The sequence below is a fragment of the Homo sapiens genome, chromosome 2 (assembly GCF_000001405.40).
Source record: "Homo sapiens chromosome 2, GRCh38.p14 Primary Assembly".
NCBI classification, from domain to species: domain Eukaryota; kingdom Metazoa; phylum Chordata; class Mammalia; order Primates; family Hominidae; genus Homo; species Homo sapiens.
The window spans coordinates 225,397,628-225,417,935 of record NC_000002.12 but is presented as its reverse complement, the minus strand read 5'-3'; the positions used below and the strand labels follow the sequence as shown (position 1 = coordinate 225,417,935).

The following is a 20,308-nucleotide window of genomic DNA, read 5'->3' as shown; positions in this document are numbered from 1 at the left end:
CCCAACCCCCTACCAGATTGTAACTCCGATGAGGACAAGCATGTTTTGGTATTCTGTTCACCATCTTATCCCAAGCACCTAGAGCAATGACTGACATAAAATAGATGCCCAATATATGCTTAATGAAAAATATAATATGGAAACAAAATAGCTATGCAATACATATAAACATCAACCTAATAGAAAATTAAGAAGTATCCTTGGTAACGGCCCTCTTCATTCTTTGCTGAACCACTTCATTTTTTATTCAAACATCAGGATATGCTGAGTGGTATACTTAGCCCCAAATCAGAGACGAAAATGCAATTTACTAATTAAAATAATGGATTTTAAATACTTCTTTTTTATTTTTTAAAACATCTTCCTTGTACATCTTATTGAAATTGCTTTTCTCTATTTTTTTAAGTGATCTTTTTTTCTGCTTCCTAGCAGGCTGGCTATATTTACATTCCAGTATGGACATGAATATTCCATTGTGTATTTCCAAATATGAGCATTATTGAGAATAACTTTTAACTAGAGGCATGTGTTTCAAGCAGAGATTCATTTTGAGGGGGGACTTGATTTTCCTTTTACCAATTCATGATTAAAATTAATTTTAAGGTAACCCACACATGTATAATGAAGACATTTTCTTTAGGCTACCTCAAAGTTAGAAGACTTGGAGCAATTTTATTAGCATGCTCAGGCTCTATTCTAGCAGTTTCATTTGTTACATTACACACATTCTCTAGGAGACATTGCATTTTTAGTAGTTCAAAAAGTCCCCTGACTCATAGCCTTACTCCATAATAATTTCTTTCTCTTACGGGTTCTTTGGAAACATTTTACAAAGGCCATCTTTAGTTAAAGATATCCTCCAATAGCTTGAAGAATATAAAAAATAGACCTCAACAGGAAACTATTGACAGTCAGTCTATAACCATCTCTCCATATTCAACATTACTTTTCAAAGAAAGATTACCTTAAATTCTCCAACGGGCTTCTGTTTAATCATTCAATTTGCCATGGTGTTGGATGTTTGGAAGGTCCACTCTTCACTGCAATTTCCTCTGTCAGAAGAGCTTAATTCTCATGCTGACTGAGTAGCTCACATGGGGCTCTGTTCTGAAAGGCCCCTCCTCTTGCCAACATCTGTCTATTTATTTCAGATATAGAACAGATACTGAGCTTCTTAAAATGTAAAATAAGTGCTAGGTCTAGGATATAATTAAAGTCAAAACAACCAAAAGTATAAATAGCTCTTGAAAGGTACGTGAGAAGACTGAAGGAGGCTTACCCTAACAGGCACCTTTAAAGGAACTTTTTTAAATGTTGTCTCTAATCTGTCCTGGCAGGTGACTAGATGAAAAACCCAGGATTGTCTCTATTATTAATATAAGTATAATGTAAATTGTAAATTTATAAATTCTGAAGTTTGTATTAAGCATCTTGGGAAACTTGATGGCTCTAACTGAAAACAATAGGCCAGCAGGACAGACGCCATTTTGACCTGTATAAGGGGACTCCTTAGATTAACTTTTCCCATGAGCATTGAAAAAAATATATAGAGCACCTAGCATAAGTTAATTCATTTAGAATCAGCCTTGCAGATTAAACTTCTGGCTCAATAAAGAATTTTTCTGGTCTAATTTTATGGTTTGAGGAATAAAAAACTTGCCCATGCATTTGATTTTTTAACCAAAATTACTCCCATATATGAATATCTTGTTTAGCTTTGAGGAAGAAAATCTGGATGCATGATTTTTACATAAAAACAAGCAAAGCAACCTGTGGTCCCCTGAAATGATTAATAGAAAAGTGATTCGAATTAATCACAAACACAAGAGGAAGCTGAAATTAGAGAGGGTTATTAAGATACTGGCTGCTGTTTAATCTCACCCGTTATCAACACATTAACCTTGTTTTCTCTGCCTGAGCACTAAGTCCTACAGCAAAATTAGGTCAGAAATTCACATCAGATCAGATCAGCTGATTCATTCCAGCAAGACCCTGACATGCTGCAGATTTGAGTTTAATTCTAGATAGGAGGATGGCTGAGGGCTTTTTTTTTTATGTTGCTCAAAGCATAGGTTAGTTATACAGTATTTCTGTGCTACCTGTAGAGTATTCCCAAATACTCTTAGGCAAGCTGGTAGAGTATTTCTTAAAGTTGACAATGTGTTTCCAAACCTTTGTTTAACCATGTTCACTTCACCTGTGTAATGGGGCTTAAACACTCCTTTTCATGTAGAAATAGGGTATCTCACTTTTCTACATGCCTCCAATTAAAACAAATCTAATAATATTAGCTATTCGTGACAAAAATAGCTATTCATGGTGCAATGAGCGGGTATATCATTCACAAAAATGCACTTCAGTAGATGCTATTTCCACAAAGTCTACTGCCACAAATCATGGGTATGATCCCAGAAGTCATTACTATCTAAAGAGGATTTATGTAACTGTTAACATTTCTCTAATAAGAGCTCTCTGTGTAATTATGTCTTTGGGTAAAGTAGTCATTTAAAATATTAACCAATTCAAAACTTGGATATCATAGCCATTTGCTTTTGGGGCAGCAATGTATTAGTAAAGGAAAAACAAATATTTTCTTTATTTTTATTTTTGTTTTATTTTTCTTCATGGTCCAAAGGATGGACTTTAGTGGTTCTTTTTGAGTAACAGAAATACTGAATCTTTCAAATACAGATAGCTTTCAAGTATATATAGTAATATGCAATTGCATGTATTTTTTTAAAGGAGCTGTAAGTAATGTAATTCCATTTCTGTCACTTTTAAAGAGGAAATATAACCTCATATAGATCCCTTGAGGGCATCCACAGGGAACAGAGACATTCCTAATCAGCCTAAGTAGTCCTTTGTGTCAGAACCACTTTGCTAAAGTCGAGAGCTGTCTTCCAGATTCACAATGTTTTGGAAAATTTAACTAATGTAGCATTTGTTTGATTAGAAAAAAAAATCCTACCCTTACCTATGGTAGATATGATGCTCAGAAAGACATGTACTGGGAACAGATTTTCTTGTTGCTTTCAATTTAAAGGATGTTTCGTATATCGTTTTTAAAATACTATAGCTAATAGCAAAATCAGACAGTGCAGGGACCAGTTTCAGATTTAAGAAAGAAAACTTTGTTTGAAGGGACTTTTTGCACATTTAGCATACCAGATGATCTTTGGATTGCCCGTCCTTCTCAGTGAATATCGTCACTTGATGGCCTAAACTTGGTGGCCTGTAAATAGTCAACTCCAAGGAAGGTGTTCACAGATACACCCAGGTACCGCCTTAAGGGATGTTTGTGGCCGGACTCTGTTCTCGTTGGTCACTTGCCTTCTTCTCATTGGCTGGTTCCTGAGTGTGTCAATGGTTCAATACACGACTATCCTTCCTGTTTCTTACCTTTTCTCTCACTCACATGATAAACTGGGATTTTGCAACCCATCTCAAGGGAACTCATTTGTGTGAAGCTATAGGTTTTGTGTGTTTGTTTTCTTATAGGTTTTTCATAAAAAAGTAAATCTCATTTAACAGTGCCTGCACAAAACCATTAGGATTTAAAATAGCAGAAAAGATGAGCTACTAAAATATTTTTTCATTCTCCATTAACTTGTTTCCTTTAAGTCTTTTTCTCTCTTTCTCACCAAATGTTATTTGAAGCTGTTAAGAAAAACACTAAGAGCATCGCTTTTTATTTATTTGATATTTTTTCACCCAGCCAGACTTTTGAGTAAAATCCCATTTGAGAAATGGAAGTGAAGGTATGAGAAAGGTAATAGTGATAAGGTGCTCAAGTTAGTTGAAAAATAAGGAATTGGGCTCAGAAAGCCTAAGTGACTTAGAACACTGAGAAAGTGATGAGGATATTCTTTTTCTAAGAGCTCAGTGTTTTAAGCTTCCCAGCTTCAGCACAAAAGGCATTTCAGCACATATGTGATCCAGAAGGTCAATCATACGAAATCCTATTTCCATTTTTTAAGCAATCCTTGGCAGTCTGCACGTTTCTGAAATTGCAACTGGCATATTTCACAGAGAATTATCATCAATGCCTTTTCAAGGTCAAACATGCCCCATCTTTAGATTTTCAGCATGTATATTCTATACACTAAACAGCAGTATATTTCTACAAAGCATCCAGTAGATATGTTACATAATTTTAAGTAATTAGACTATGTTTATTAAAGCCTCATTGAATTCTCTCTACTCAATGTAAATTGCATGCTAAAAATATTAAAACGTGTTAGGTTTAGATGTTGGTCCTCTGTATCTTTCACCATCCCTGGAATCCCAAAATGCCAGTGTGACTAGGATCTTGCTATGGACTTTCTCAAAATATTAAAAACACATTTTTTTAATTAAGAACATGGCAGCAATTCCAAAATTGTAGTTTGAGGAAATAATAAAAGACTGTTATTATTTTTAAATTGTCAGAACTCCAAGATATCCAGTCACCATATGAATCAAATAAAATTGAATTTGGACATTACCATGAGTACTGAGACTAGATCACTTGAGATTCCACAGCTCTAACTGTAAACAAGAGGCCAGCAGGACAGACGCCAGTCTATCATAAGGAGGTTTAAGACTTTAGCCTCCTCCTCCTGTCCTATTTTTTATTTGTTTATTATTTATTTTTTTGGCCTGTTTCACTTTTCTCTCTCCAGCTTCCTCCCTTACCTATCCAGATACTATCTCTGTCCTCACACTGTACGTGGGTCCTGATTTTGGAAAAGAAAGACACTTGAGAAATCTCAACAACTAGAAGCTTTACTAGTATTCTGCCCCCTCCAAAGATATTTATATTTTAAATTAAAATTCTAGAAAAATATGTTGGGGGAGGGAGAGTAGGAAAGAAAGGAAGGTTTTAGATAGTAAGACACATACTACATTTTTCAAATCCTAGTGCATGTGCTGACTGTGAGGATAGTAATAAAATAGTGTTTGAGATATGATTGACCTCACCAGGTTTGAGGCATGGCCCGCAAATGACTGTCTCCCATGTGTGCACCTGGTCAGTGTTCCTGCTGCCATCTGAGTCTCTACCTGTGACTGTCTTTGAGGTGAGGTCTGAGTGTGTCCTGATGGGAGTAATTCCTCTGTGCCTCTGCAGTGCAGGCATGGAACAGGCTTCCATCTTGGTTTACTTTCCTAGCCCGCTATTTTCCGACTAGAACTTATCCTAGACCCAAGCCTCCAGCTCTTCTCCACTTGGCAGCTTTAACTGTACAGAAACTTTTGGAGAAACAGGGAGAAGGGATTGTTCTTTAATTCCACCTTTCTGTTTCTTTTTCTACTATTCTCAGCTGCTCTGATGGTTTTTCACAAATTTTACCTCCATAATTTGGCTCCTGATTTAAATCTATGTATTGACTTTAGAGAACCAGGTTTGGGGACTTTTCATGCCAGTTTTTAGTCTTTCATTCATTCATTATATATTCATCCACATAATGTGGCATATGTCCTCTTAGCAGGGCTGAGCAGTCCGTGCTCCATCTAAAATGTTCTAGACGCCTCCTTTCCTACCCACTCAAGGACACTCTAACAGTAATTTTTCCCTTTCTCTAAGTCATCAATATTTCTCTTTCTGCAGTAATCATTCACAACCACATTTTAAATATGCTGATTTTCTCCCTTCTTACAGGAACAAAATTTTTGTTAAAAAAAAAAAAAAAAAAAAAAAAAAGCCGGGCGCAGTGGCTCACGCCTGTAATCCCAGCACTTTGGGAGGCTGAGGCAGGCGGATCATGAGGTCAAGAGATAGAGACCATCTTGGCCAACATGGTAAAACCCCATCTCTACTAAAAATACAAAAATTAGCTGGGCATGGTGGTGCATGCCTGTAGTCCCAGCTGAGGGACTGAGGCAGGAGAATCGCTTGAACCTGGGAGGCAGAGGTTGCAGTGATAAATGATATATAAATGATAATATAATATTATTATAGTATAATATAATATTATTTGTAAATTATTTATTTAGAAATAATAAATATATCATTTGTAAATAATTATTTATATTATGCTTCAAATCCTTTATTTTCATTCTGTTGTGAACATAATCCCACTGAGTTTTGTTCCCAGCCCTTCAGTGAAATTGTTCTTATTAATAACACAAATGTGGTAAAAAGCAATGGTCAGTTCTCAGGCTTCAACATATTTGATATATCAGCCAAATGTCTCTCTCTTCTTTAATCGCTTTTGACACTTCACTCTAAGGCATCATACTCCTTTGTGGTTCTCCCCTCTCACTAACCGTTCTTACTGAATTCTTCCACTGTTCCTATCATATGAGCAATCAGGTGCCTCCAGGGGGCAACCCTGGGTTTTTTTTTTATCATCTCTATTTAAATTTAAGTCCTTGGCTCATGATGGTGAAATCTATAGACTACAACTCTCACATTTGTACCTTCGGCTTGGAATTCTACCATAGCTCCAGATTCTTTACTCAACTGCCTTTCCATCATCTCCACTTGGACATTTAAAAGGCTTCATAAAATCGTCATACCAAAGCTGAGCTCCTGCCCCCCCATCAGTTACGCTAAACCTGCTCCCCTTTTAGTCTTTGCCATTGCATTAAATGGAAACATCATTCTGCTAGCTTAGGCAGAAACAAAATAAAGTAGAAAACAACAACAGAACAAACCTGAGGGCCACCTCTAATTAATTCTTTTCTCTTGCTCAACTACTGCATCTCATCAATCAGAAAATTCAAATGGTGTCCATAATTTGATTATTTTACACCACCTTTACTGCTATCATCCCAATGCAAACCAACATTATCTCTCAACAGTTAGGACACAACAAAAGGATGTACTTCTGTCTTTTGCTCTATACTCAAGTAGGACTTAAATTTTATCTTCTGCTTATGGGGTGAGTAGAAGTGAATGTCTCCAGATCATGTGGGACTTCTTCAATTCAATGTGTGATCTGAGTTATCTTTACTTTTATGCTATTAACATAGTTCTGAAAAATATTGCTTTATCAGACTAGCAGGAATCAACTCAAAGTTCACACAAATGGATTACTTAGACCTCACTTATTATGTAATGACAGGGTTTTGCTGTGTCTCCGTCTACCTAAATTTCTGTTCCTAAGTCCCTTGGACTTTAGTCCTCTGAGGTTATGCCCCTTTTTGAACACTTGACAGTTAAGCACCTAAAAATTAGCCATTTTTGTTGTCTTAACAACTATGAATCTTTAAATAGAAACCTACTGAAGCTTGTTAATGAAATACAGAAGCTAGTAGTAGAGTGATAAGCAAACTTTGGGTGTTCTGTAAAAGCTAATGGAATGATCCAGAAAATAATTTTATTTATATGCTTATAGAAAAGGATTTATTATTGAGTTTTAATGCCAAGATTACAAACTTCAGATTTTAGAGTTTTGAAGTTACTTTCAAAAACATGTAGGCCATCCGTTGTATTTTGAATTTTAGAAAACTCAGATTCATAAAACTAAAGTTAAATGCTCACACACAAAAAAATGTCCATCAAAAATACTTCACAGAAAAAAAAAATGTCCTAAGAAGGCATTTATACACTCTAGAAAAGAATCATGACACCAGTTAAAATTGGTTAGAAATCAAAATAACATAGTCCTCAACAACAAATTAATTGACTTTAAATATAAATACATGCAATTGTGAAAATGTTGATCAATTATGCAATTTCTATACCTGATAATATATTTTCATTTTAATCGTCCAGAGAAAAAAGAGTTCTCTTTTAAAACAATCTTGTACACCATTCCTTTCTATTTCTAGTTTTTTGCTTTCAAATCATCTCTCTCTCTCCATAAAGTTATTTTTAATTAAGTTATTGGAGTAGTGTGATCTCACCTAGCTTCTTTATAAGCATGAATAATTCATTTTAAGAGAACATTTTGGTTTTTTAAATATCACAGCGTTCAGAGATGATAAGCAAAAGTATTAATGCCAGATTAGATGAAAAAATCTCCCAATTAACCATCAAAATATCTTTCATATTATTACTATTATTCAGTTATCAAGCTAATTGATATGGATTAAGTCCCTATATTCTGGATTTTGCACTTAGTAAGTGAACTTTATTTGAAGAAACAGGACTCCATCTGACACAGGTGTCTCTCTCTGTACCACCAGAAGACACACACACAGGCAAACTGAAAACATTGTAACATTCTTTTTAAAAAATCAAAAGATATGCATTCTTCTTTTGGTGTCAGCGCTCTAGGAAATTTAACCTCAATTTGGAAGGCCACCATCTGGGGCTCACCAGCTAGTAGCTGGTAGGTTTTGCATCATAAAAGTAATTCCATTTGAACAAACTTGTGGCACTTGGTAACAAACAAGAAATTTAACAGCCATAAAAGTCTGCATAGGGAGAGCACACCCTGAGGATTCTACCTGCCTTCAGAGGCTCACGTAAGTATAATTATTGATGTATCTTGGCCATAATCTAGAAAGAAGATGAGCTCTATTTAAAGGTAAGAACTATAACCAAAGGCCATTAAAGGTAGGGATTTTCATCAATCTTGGGCTATTAAAAGGTTTGTGTGTTCCCTTGCGTCTTTGCCAAGAGGTTATTGAGTATGAGCTTTTGTTCAGAGGAAATTGAATTTTTCCCCATCCTGTCTGTAGCTGCATATGCACACACACAAGGAAATAACTTTTGTTAACTAAGGATGCTGTTGGCAGTGTGGGTGGTGTTTTTGTTATAGTTGAGGGGTCGCTTTCATATGCTCTCACCAAGTCTAACTGACTCTGGAAGACCTTTTCTGACCAAGTGACAACATCACAACTTTAGCAGCCCTCATGGACTTTCTCATGTGCACAAAACTCAAAATAATTTTATTTATATTTACCGCTTTATTGCTTCTTCTTGTCTTCGGCGTTTTTCATTCTTCTCTTTCAAATAGGCTAGGTTAGTTTCATTTCTCAAGCGATCATTCTCTCGAGCAATATCTGACGCATTCTGAATAACCAAGCCATCATAGGCCTTCATCCCCATATCCTCAATGTACTGGAGAAATGTGTCCAAAGGGTCTTCCTCAGGATTAGAACTCATCATCTTGGAGGATATCATGTAAAGAGGAACACTGCCTGCAGGGTGAGAACACATTTTACTTTTATCCAGGGTGGGGAAAAAAGCAAGGTGCTGTTTATTATCCCTAACAACTCAAAACTCCAATAATTATGGCCAAATCCGATTGGAGAAAATATCTCACTAGAATAATTACAACCACAATATTTGAAGTAAATATTAAATAAGTGCTACCTGAATAGCAAACCTTCTCTCAAAGCAGCAACACTAGCAGGACAAAGGTCAAAGCTCTTGAACTAAAATATGATGGGAAGGGGTAAATACTGTATGCAAAGTTAAACATTTGGTTGCATAATTACAATAATAATTTTGTTTCTTAAAATGTGTTTTCACACAAAGAAGGTATATAAGATCCAAACTTCATGTATTTCTGATTGCCATAAAGACTTTTCTGTTCAATTTCAAGTAAAATGATGTAATTATTTGGAAAGAACTTTTGTACATATATGTGCTTTCCTTAGTTTTTGAAATTAAAATGTATGAATCTGAACTATGTATGCAAAATATAGTAGTAGTAAAAGAAAAACACATTTCTAATATAACTTTTCTAGAAAAGAATCCTTTTTAACTCTTCATTTCTTTCCATAATGTTCCTCCATAATGCCTTCATACTACAACTAACATATCATAGGTCACTAGGACCACATTAGTCCTGACCAGTCTGGTAATTCAAGCATTGACAACTGTTGTCTCATTGTTACATGAAGTTTTCAAAACTTGAGCCTCAGAAAAGATTACTGAGAAACCAAAATTAAATCAAAACAAAACAAAAAAGCATAGGAATTTCAACTAGTATATATTACTCTCAACTGTAAAATGATGCTAGTAATAACTCCTACCTCCTGCTGATGTGAAGATTATGAGAGATGAAGACTGTAAATAATTTAGAATAGAGTTCAACAATAGTAAGTATATAATACTATTAGCTAATATTATCATTAAAAAGTATGAACTGGCAGCAATAGTAATGTCAAATGGATATGTGTGGCTAGATGGGGAGATGGACAGATGGATGGAAGGAAGGCTTACTGTCCTAATTGCATATTAATTGTGGTATAAGAAACTGGTATAATTGAGTCAGATTAAAAAACCAAAAGCAAAGTCAATTAACAAGGGGAAAAATTTCTCCATTCAAAAGTTATCAATTCCCTTGCATGTTTTTCTTTCTTTACAAAACTTAGAAAGATATTATTAAATATCAGCCCAACTATTTGATGTAAAACTCCCAGACTTTCACTTTTTCAATTACAAATAATTTTCATTCTGATTTTTTTACAGGTATAGTCATGTTCCAAAACCTGGATAATAACTATGGAAATTTTACTTCTCATCAGACTTTATTAGCATTTCAGCTGCCAGTCAATCCATATTTGATTTGGAACCCATCCTGAATTTAAGGATTTTTCTCTCCTATCTAAGAAATTATTGAAACTGGAGTCTAGATAAGGTTGTTTGTTGACTCTTGATTTTTATGTTAAGTTTTTGTATGTTTTGTTTTATGTTAAGCTGTAATGGGTTAGCAAATGAAATGGACTTTTAATTCCAACTATCTGGTGTAATTGAATTGTATTTTACTATCAGTCCATCAGATTAGATGCTTACATGATGGACATGAAGAATAGTAAATTAATGCTACAAATGATTGCAATTTGGGGAAAAATACAAGAAAATGATTCTCAGAGAGCTAAAGCATTGCCATTGTCAGGAATTCACTTCTACCAAGGACTTTTGCACTAGGAGTGCCTGGATAAAAAAGATCAGCATAACTTCACGACAATTAATTCTACCCAAGTTAAGCAAGCCAAGTCACTATTACAAGAATTCTAGAGATAATGCCTCCGGCTGGAAGATGATCACTCCTTCTTTGCCCTCTAGCAAAATTGTATATTTCCCAATTGAATAAGGCATTATTACCCAAAGGTTTTAATTTTTTTCCTTAAGTTTTCCTCCAACCAAAATGACACCAGAGATTCCTACGCAGTTTCTATATTCCAAATATCAATAAGTTTATTTGTTTACCTCTGAAAGTTAATTACCTTCCTAAGTGGTCTTTCAAATTGGCTGGAATTTAAATTATTTTTGTTCTGAGAAATTATTAACTAATAATATTATAAAGTATTTACACTATAGAAAGATGCATTTTTTAAAAACAAAAAGGAGATCAAATTTTTTGAGATGAAAATGAACCATCACATCTAGTAAAACTTCAAAGTAATGAAAATTGAATAAATGTTTGTACACATGCTCCTGCCACCTAATTCTAGAAAAGTATTAAATTCCATGACCATTCTTTTTTTTCAAGTATTTGTTGAGCACGTGTTATGAAAAGCCCTAATGAAGGCAGAATTGTGTCCCTCTAGATGTCTTCGTGGCAGTGTTAGAGCAAAATAAATAAATAATTGCAATACTTGTGACTAGTGTTGATTTAGGTGGACTTCACTAGTTGGTCATACATGTTTTATTTTCACTGTTTTTAAGGGTGAACAAGAAATATTTTTCAACAGTCGTGTTAGTCTCCGAAAACGGTCACAGGCCCTGTCAATGTCTAAACATCACACCTCTTTGTTTACTTGTCCACATGTAAAAAGTATAATAGTTTGTAATATTGAGGAGGCTGTGAGGCTGTCCTGAAGGGCATGGATAAGGAGGCTGGCAGAATGGCCTAGAAACCCCAGTGAAGGCACCTCTAGCTCTAAAACTTCATACAAGTTAATTACTGTTTTTAAACTTCAATTTCCAAATTAAAAAAAAAAATAGTGGTTGGAATAGACCCTTGTTGTGAGTATTGAGTTAGAAATGCATAAAAGTATTCCATAAATTTAACTATAATTAATAGTCACTAACATTACTGTTAGTTTCCCAATTCTTAAATGTGGCTAGAATTATATTTAATAATAATATAACCCCTTGATAAATGTAATTTTACTTTGAAACAAAGGTGAGTACAATGTTTATTGTAGTGCAACTTCCTTAAAATTGCATGTGTAAATGTGTAAATGGAGGCCAGGTTAGGAGTTGATACATTCTTCCCCCAATCAAATCTATATGGACAGCTCCACATAACCATTGTCCCCCATTGTCCACATCTAGAAAATAAAGAAACTGGGACATATGGACCACGAAACTCATCCCATCTCTCAAACCCTAGGTCTCCACCCTTCCAAGCCCAAAGTGTTTCTCAGACAACTGAACTATGAGTAAATAGATTCATGGCCTCACTAGAGAAAAGAGAACCTTATGTTCATTGTCTACTTCATTACAACAGCTACCAATTCAAAGCAGTGAGAACCCACAGACGAGTACAACCATAAATCTCTTTGTTTTTCAGAAATTTATATTTACACCTAAGATAGATATTGAATAACATATGTTGTAAACCACCAAAAACTTGACTGCATTTTGACTCTTAGATATTAAGTCAAGTTTATGTCAGGCCCTTAAATGACAATTATGTATGCAAGAATTTTATAAAGACTTGCCTTGAACATCTAATCCTATGTCAGCATCCTAGAAGACCCTATTTGTTAAGAGGCAAATGTCCCCTCTCCTCCAGGTAGCATCTTTAGCTCTGTCTCAGTAAGTAAGGGAAACTGGCTTACTGGACCATTAACTGGTGCATGAGGTATTTGTGACAACAGAGTGGGTGAGATTAAGGTGGAACTCTGGCTTTTCTACAGGCATCCCTTTTAATTGAGTTCATCCCTTTAATTGAGTTCATTGAGTCTGTTGCCATTTTTGCTCAAAACAAATTAGATATTTTAGCCCCTTCCCTGCTCCCTGAGCATTGGTTGAAAATGAGCATCCATGGTCTTCATTTAGAAGACAGATGTGTTCTCTTTGCAATGCACAATGTTGATACAAGTAGTGCAACACTGTGTGTGCATTCCTTGAAATTTGTGGCCAACATTTAAAATTTGTGTCAGGGACCCTCCTGGGAAGGCACCTAAAATCACCAACATCGGATTTCCTATACAATCTACAGATACCTTTACATCCTCCCTCTCTGCCTTTCCTCCACTGTGGTATTCTGCATTCACAAAAGACTCTTTTTGTTTAAGTTTTTAGATTACTGTATCTAGAATCATCACCATTCTAATATAAGTTAAAGATGTTGACTTTCACACAGCTGTATGGTTAATTGTTCAGCTTTATTTTATTTTTTCACTTTGTTATTTACATCATGTTGACCACACCCTTCACAAAGATCACTTTGTATAATACTGTGACACTTTCCAAAATTTGAAATTTCATTCCACCCAGCTAAATTGCACCAAATCAAACTGGTTTAATTCTTACCATAAGTTAAATACTAAGCATTTAACTGTTTATTGAGTTAACAATTTTCTTATTTTCTTTTGTGCAAGGCCATCATTATACTTTTCCAATGCTGAACCTAGAGCTTAAAGTAGCATTCCATTTCTTTACAATTGTTTCCACTGAAATAAAACTACCCATTATATACACATGTGGAGCATAAGCTAAGTCTGCTATGTCAAAATGGAATTCATAGAAACATTAAAACATTTAAAAAACAACTCGTTTTTTCTTTTTCTATAGTTTCCTGCTACTGCTTCCATCCAGAGAAGTCAAGAAGCTAAGACACTATGTGACCCTTAGTTCTGAAGCTTAAAAAAAAGCAGCATTTTTGAGAAAGAGGTGTATGCAAAAGAATCAAACTAAGATTATAGATTTATGTGGGCTATTCTCATTGTAAATTAAGGTATCAATTGCGTGTGGTCTCAATCTACCAGAGGGTATTTAATGTAGCACCAACTAATATCAAGATTGAGTTCCCCAAGGTATAGAGGGCTTTCGATTAATTCCAAGATACTGTTGAATCAAGGGTGTACAAAGAGTCAGATAAATATTAGGCATGCCATCTTCCTTCTCATACATGGTTAAGCATTTCTTTTCTCTTTGCTTCAGAGCAAATTTCTTCATGAGTGTAATTTCATACATTGTGATATCAACCACTCTAGCTCTATAAGGACTGACTAGAATGGACATGTACACTGATTTGTCAGGCAGAGGCTTCCAATGGGCAATTTATCTCCATTTACCAAAAGCAGAGTTTTATAGGTACTAGTATCATCTGAGTAAGTTAGTCCAGTAGCCTTCATAGGCACAGGTCCTTTTATCTTTTATTAAGGTATTTATCTGGAATTTCTGATATGGAGCTATTCTCCATCTGAAACTTTTATTTTCCAAGATATAAAGTTGTGACACCTCTGTTAATTTGGTTATTTGCCACATATACTAAGTGGTGGAGGGAGAAAAGGCTCTGTTTTGGGAAAGAATGGCTTCCTAATCTTAATACCTGAAGCTCTATGAGAAGCTTCCTTAATTTTAGGCCACAGTTAATCCTACAAGATAATCTTATAGCTATAATAAGATAGTTTATTTTGTGCGATTATTATAATGCTAATTGTGACCAGCCAGAAGAACACAATACATAGAATGGAACAAATGTCCTGATGGAAACCTAAATATTTTACTTTTATTGTACTTCACATTTGTGTTTTTATTTTATTTGCAGAGGGTAAAGTTTTCTAGTCTCCACCTTTATATATTTCTGAGCTCTTTAAACCACACCTGTCTCAATGCTGTGAGGAAGTTATTAGAATTTGAGTTATTAAGATTTGAGTTTCCTTCCTACTCCAATCATTGCATCTTCTTTGAGGTAGAGAATCCTACTTTTTTTCTAGTAGTATTGATCCAATAAAAGTTTCCCAAGGCAATTTTGACTATTTTTTGTTGTTTTTGTTTAGCAGGAGAAAAAAATCTTTTACAACTTTTGCATGTACTCAAACCAATTTGAAAACACATTGTGTATGAAAATGTAAGGATTTAAATAATCAGGCTTCTGATACATATGTAAAATACATATGCAAATTAATATTTAAAATTTGCTGACTTCACATAGGACCAAATCATCAGACTAGCCTGGTTATAACCCATAACACATGTAAACCATGTCAAAATTTTTTTCTGATAAAATCTTATAATTTGTCAAGCATTACTCCTATAATTTCACTTTGATTATGCTTGAAATCCTACTCCCTACCCCACAAATGGTCACACTCATTTTCTCATTCTCAGTGTCATCAAAATGCAGCTGTTCTGCCCAAAATGGGAAATGTTGAAGCTACAACCAAGAAAGCTTGCTAAAGTGACTACAAAGACACTGATTGCTTTTTTCTCAGAAAGCAGATTACTTTGCAGTGAGTTTTTCTCCACTATCTCTCTTCCCAAAATGAGTAAGATAGGCATAAATCGTGTTAATGCAGTAGCATCATGAATTGGTATCTCCCCCTCATCTTCCAGGTTGTCATGGTGCTGTTTGCCCATGGTGTAAAGAGATTGTACATTTCCATTAATATTGGAGACTCATGCAAAATGCCAGTGGCTGAGATACTTTTTGGAGGCTTGGGCCAAATGGTTCCAGATGCTTACAAGGCATTATTTGCAAAGTAGATGTAGTCAGTCTAATAAATTGCTGACTGGAGCTACAGTGGGAACCATCTAATTGAATTGGGAGTCTATAATTTATTTATTTTTTTAAACAATAACCAACCTTCTTGTGTCTAGGATTTTTACACTTCTCTTTCTAAACTTGACAGATGCTTCAAGTCCTCAGGCTTCTCCACTGTCCCTTGTGCAGTTGTAATATTTTCCTCTGGTCTGTTTCCACTAATTCTCTAAACTGTCTATGTCCTTCACATAGTCCCTTTCTTTGCTGAGTTGGCTCATGTATGTTGCACTTTCCATAGGAAAACAAAATAATTTCTGCATTTGTGGACCACATTTTCTCATTAATTTGTGTAATTAGTGCTTGACAATATATAAAATAAATGAGAACATTGTCTAAAATGTGAAGAATTAGGAAGAGAGTTAATTTTCACTCTTTCTCTATATTTGTTATTCCACACTACTTGGTTATAAATGCTTGGATGTTAAAATGACTAAAACTACATCATGTAAGCTTTTCAGAATTTCATTATTTTTCGGCTATATTTAGAAAAAAAAATCCAATTCTATGGTACCAAAAGAACTTTAGTATTTCCCAATGATAGTGAAAAATATTATTTTATGTAATAGTTTTTCCAGATATGAAATACTCACATGTCTTGTATTTAAAATATTGCTGAGTAGTTGGAAAAATTAGGATGGAGACACCCCAACAAAATAAGAACATGTCCCAAGTAAAACAAGTCCACCTAAAGTTTTACAGAAAATATTTATTGTGATGAGACTAATAAAATCTTTCTGACATTGAATAGTATTAAAAAATGTTTCTCAAAGAGGTTTATGTCTAATCAGTCAGGAAGAAGCAGTGTCGGCTTTGCTGTTTGTCTGGTAGTTTTGAATTTTGGGGGATACTGTGTCTTTTCTCCTGAGAATGTAAAATTGGGCTCTCACTGCTGACATAAATGTGCTAAGAGACAGTTGTAAAATATTTATGGTATGGAATAGCGGATAAATAGCTAGCATGCACAACTTGAATGCCAATTAATACCCTGGAAAACATTTTCAAAGCTTTAATAATTCAACATGGCTTATTTTACTAATGAAAATCTAGTTTAACCATTTCCATGGTAATGTAACTAAGTGGGTAAGGGAGTAAAAATAGCCTCAGGCTCACTAAAGCCCTGGATGCCTTCACTGTGGCTTTATTTCTGCTCCACCTAATAAGGCATGCAAACTTCAGCATTAAGTATCCCTAACTAAAATCCATTCCATTTTATCACCAGATTGCTTGATCTATTCAGTGCTGGATTCGATTAGCATGCTTAGAGAATCTGAAAAATGAGATACATACCAAAATTTAAGTCCCCAGGGAGAGCTAAGTGCAATAACCAGAAGGTGACTTGTGTCTGTCAGAGCCCTCTCTCACGGTTGATCTCAGGGCAGTTCTGTAGGAGTAATCCAGCACCATAAGAAATAGACTTGTAGTTCAGCTCAGTGTTTCTTCAATTAAAGTGCATTGTGTCTGGATGGGAAAAGTGTCGACTCCCAGATTCTTCATCACTAGATCAGAGCATTCTCGATGTCCTTCCTATCAGATAAAATGGCCTTTAAAGTTTGCTAGGAAGATGCAGTGGCGGAAGACAGGTGCTTGCTTCCTTAAATCGACATTCGGAGAAAAGAGGGCATAGCTAATGGGTGGGGATGAACACACAGCCCCTCTCCTTCCAGGTCCAGCAGGGAAGAAATTGAATGATTTTACCCACTTTGCTACACAGATGATTACAGGACCAGAAGCAATCACCAAGCTGGCTAATGTACCTCATTTGATTATATTCTGCGAAGACAAAAATAAATGAAAACAAAAAATCAGAAACATCCTTTCTAAATGTCTCCTTTCAGCCAAAAAGATGCTCTTTCTCATTGCCACTTACATACAGAAGGTTTGGAGCAGCCCAGCTTGTGGCATAGTCCCTCCCCCGTGACAACCAGCTCTCTCTCTCTCATTCTCTCTCCCTCCACTCCCTCCCTCCCTCCCTGCCCCTGACTCCCTCCCTTCCTGCTTCTCTTTCTCCTCTCCAGCTGCCTTAGTCTGTTGAAGCTGCTGCTGATTAATCAGGGATTCTGAAACAAAGAACCTACCTTCTGAAATAAGCAGTAATCTTTCTTCTCTGTTTCTGCAATCCGTCTGCATTGAACGGCAAGGCTGCCAGCGTTCTAGCACCTTGGATAGTTCCTGCTCACTAGGCCCATTGGAAAAGGGAGAAGCAACTGAAGAAATTGCAAGAAACCGGAAAGCGGCATCGTTCTACTTTGGATTTCGGCTCCCTGGGGGCTCCCATCCTCATTAAAGGCCTCACATCTAGGCAACAGAACCTCTCTCTTTTATCTAACTGAGCTGAAGTCTGATTAGTAAATAATAAAAGGAAAAGAGGGTAAAGAAACACCCTTCATTTATATTCACTATAGCACTAATTCAGTCTTTATGGAGAGGAAAAATATAAATCCATTGAAAACAAATGTTCTTACTACAGAGAATGGTTAAGTTATAAGCATTTCACCCCTGGCGTGGCTAATGAAAATGAACAACAACTTAAATGGAACATCTAGATCTCAGTTTGATACCCTTATTTGATATCAATTTTGCCTCCACCCTCCCTGCACAGCCGAGCCATGCACACAATTACTGCTGACGTACTTCAGGCTGCTGCTTGGGGAGAGAGGGGAGGAGCCTTTTAACCTCATCAAAACAGCTTCATGCCACCTGCTCCCATGGCATGAGAACAAAACTAGTCCACTTAGAAAGAATATGCACAGCACACACGTGTGTGGAACAAAGGTCTTACTCGGACTGCACATTTTTTTAACTAAAATAAGATGCAAAATAATTATGATATGTATGTCATTAATTCCTATAGACTCATTGTTAAAATTAAAGTCATTCTATTTCTGATATTTCCCAAAGACTCTCCTCATTCTGTTCTTAATACTCTACTGAATATATACATATATATCACATTATATACCACAACTTATATATGTGTGTTTGTGTGTATTTGTATTTATTAAGCTCAAAGTTTTTCTCATACTGGCTCCTCCTCAGTAAAAACTAAAATGTACATGTTTTAATCTATTAATTTTGCACTATGATAAAAGGAATAATATATAATATGTTTCTGATGGATATGAGCTTAAAAAGCAATTTTGATGGGAGGGGATGTGCTTATTACTTGATAGTGACCTATAGATTTTTCCCCTCACATTCTTTTTCAGTAACTCACTGTAAATGACCTTCACTTGCAGGTTGGTTTTCCCAAGAGTGTTTTTTAACGTCTATATTCATAACCAAAGTCTTAGAAAATAGTTTTCTGAATTTAGTTTTTAATGCATTGACAGACCACAAAAATAAACAAGTTCACCTGTCTAATTCTTAAATGTCACCTGAGACTGTGCTGTAATTTTCTTAAATTATATTTCTTTAACTTGTAAGTATCTGGGGAAAAATAAAATCAACACATTACATTACTATAAAGCTTTTCTATTTTACATGTCCTGAAGTGCATTCCTGAAGCTCATCACTTATTTCTTGGTCTTTGTGTATCTAGCTTTTGGTTAGAACAGGACATCTGTTTAATTTTAAGAAGGATTCTGCAAGATTAGATAGATGAAAAGGAGGAGAAATACAAACGGGGAAGAGAAGAGGCCAGACCTCTCTCATATTCTCTTCCCCCTATCCCAATGCTCTCCCTTTCCCTCTCTCTCTCTCTCTCTCTGCCTTATGAAGGTTCTAAATACTTAGCACATTGCTGAAAAGTGCCTCAAGCACCACTTATAAACTAGTAACAGCCACCACACTGTGATCAAGAGGTTTACTAATGTGCCATTATTTTGGTAGTGAAGTGTTCTCATAGATGTTGTCTTTCAGCACATGACCAAAGGTGGAAAAAGTTCTTTACAAAAAAAAAATTATTGACAGACATTTTAGAAAACGGAAACACTTTATCATGACTGATAATTTTGCCAGTCTGGGGGTCTATATTTTGAACTATGGAGAGCTTGAATAAGCTCTAGTGTAAAGCCCATTTCTATATGTAAGAAAAATACTACCAAGATAAGTAAACAGACTTACTTGTTTCTGACTTACTTAATTGCCTCATTAGGATTAAGACCCAAGGTCCCTGGGCTGACTGCAGGTCTCCTCATCTTTGGCCAGTACAGTGGTTCTCAGTCCCCTTGATTTCATGCACCAAAATAATCCAAACAAAGTGAGGAGAGGCTGACATACAGTTGCCAAGCATAAAAAATGAAGAATCTGCCATTTCCTCACCACAAAAATTCAAAAAGTAAAAGGAATCTTTATATTAGAAGAATAGAGAAAGCATATTTATAACAATAGATGGTCTTTTAAGTTTCATATATTCAACTTTAGGAAAATATATCTTTTTCTTTCTTTCCTTCCTTCCTTCCTCCCTCTCCTCCCTCCCCTTTCCTTCCTTGTTTTGTTTCTTCTTTCTTTCCTTCATTCCTTGCTTCATCCCTCCCTCCCTTTCTCCCTTCCTTCTTTCCTTCCTCTTTTCCTTCTTTACTTCCTTCCTTCCTTCCTACTTGCCTGCCTCCCTGCCTTTTTCTTTTTCTTTCTTTTTCTCTTTATATTACAGAATAGGGCTTGAGAATCATCACATTTTACCAATCCCATTTTCTCAATCCCACACTTTCCTCATTCTAGGTGTCAATGTCACTGACAGGGCAATATATTCTCTGGAGACATAT

At 35.5% G+C, this 20,308-nt stretch overlaps 1 protein-coding gene across 4 annotated transcripts in view; it reads right to left on the bottom strand.

Annotated features, from left to right (window-relative positions):
• The window catches only part of NYAP2 (neuronal tyrosine-phosphorylated phosphoinositide-3-kinase adaptor 2), a 305,716-nt gene extending 285,719 nt beyond the window's left edge, over positions 1-19,997 (bottom strand). The window contains exons 1-4 of one of the 4 annotated variants that reach the window (XM_047445201.1): positions 19,668-19,997; positions 17,681-17,781; positions 16,893-17,375; positions 8,835-9,072 (exon numbers count right to left, since the gene is read on the bottom strand). In XM_047445201.1, the coding sequence (XP_047301157.1) occupies positions 8,835-9,055 (221 nt within the window). In that variant the 5' untranslated portion in view covers positions 9,056-9,072; positions 16,893-17,375; positions 17,681-17,781; positions 19,668-19,997. Of the gene's footprint in view, positions 1-8,834; positions 9,073-16,892; positions 17,513-17,680; positions 18,227-19,667 lie in introns of those variants that run through there. The other 3 variants (NM_001371273.1, XM_047445200.1, NM_020864.2) reach the window with 3 other exon arrangements.
• Between the last annotated feature and the right edge of the window lie 311 nt (positions 19,998-20,308).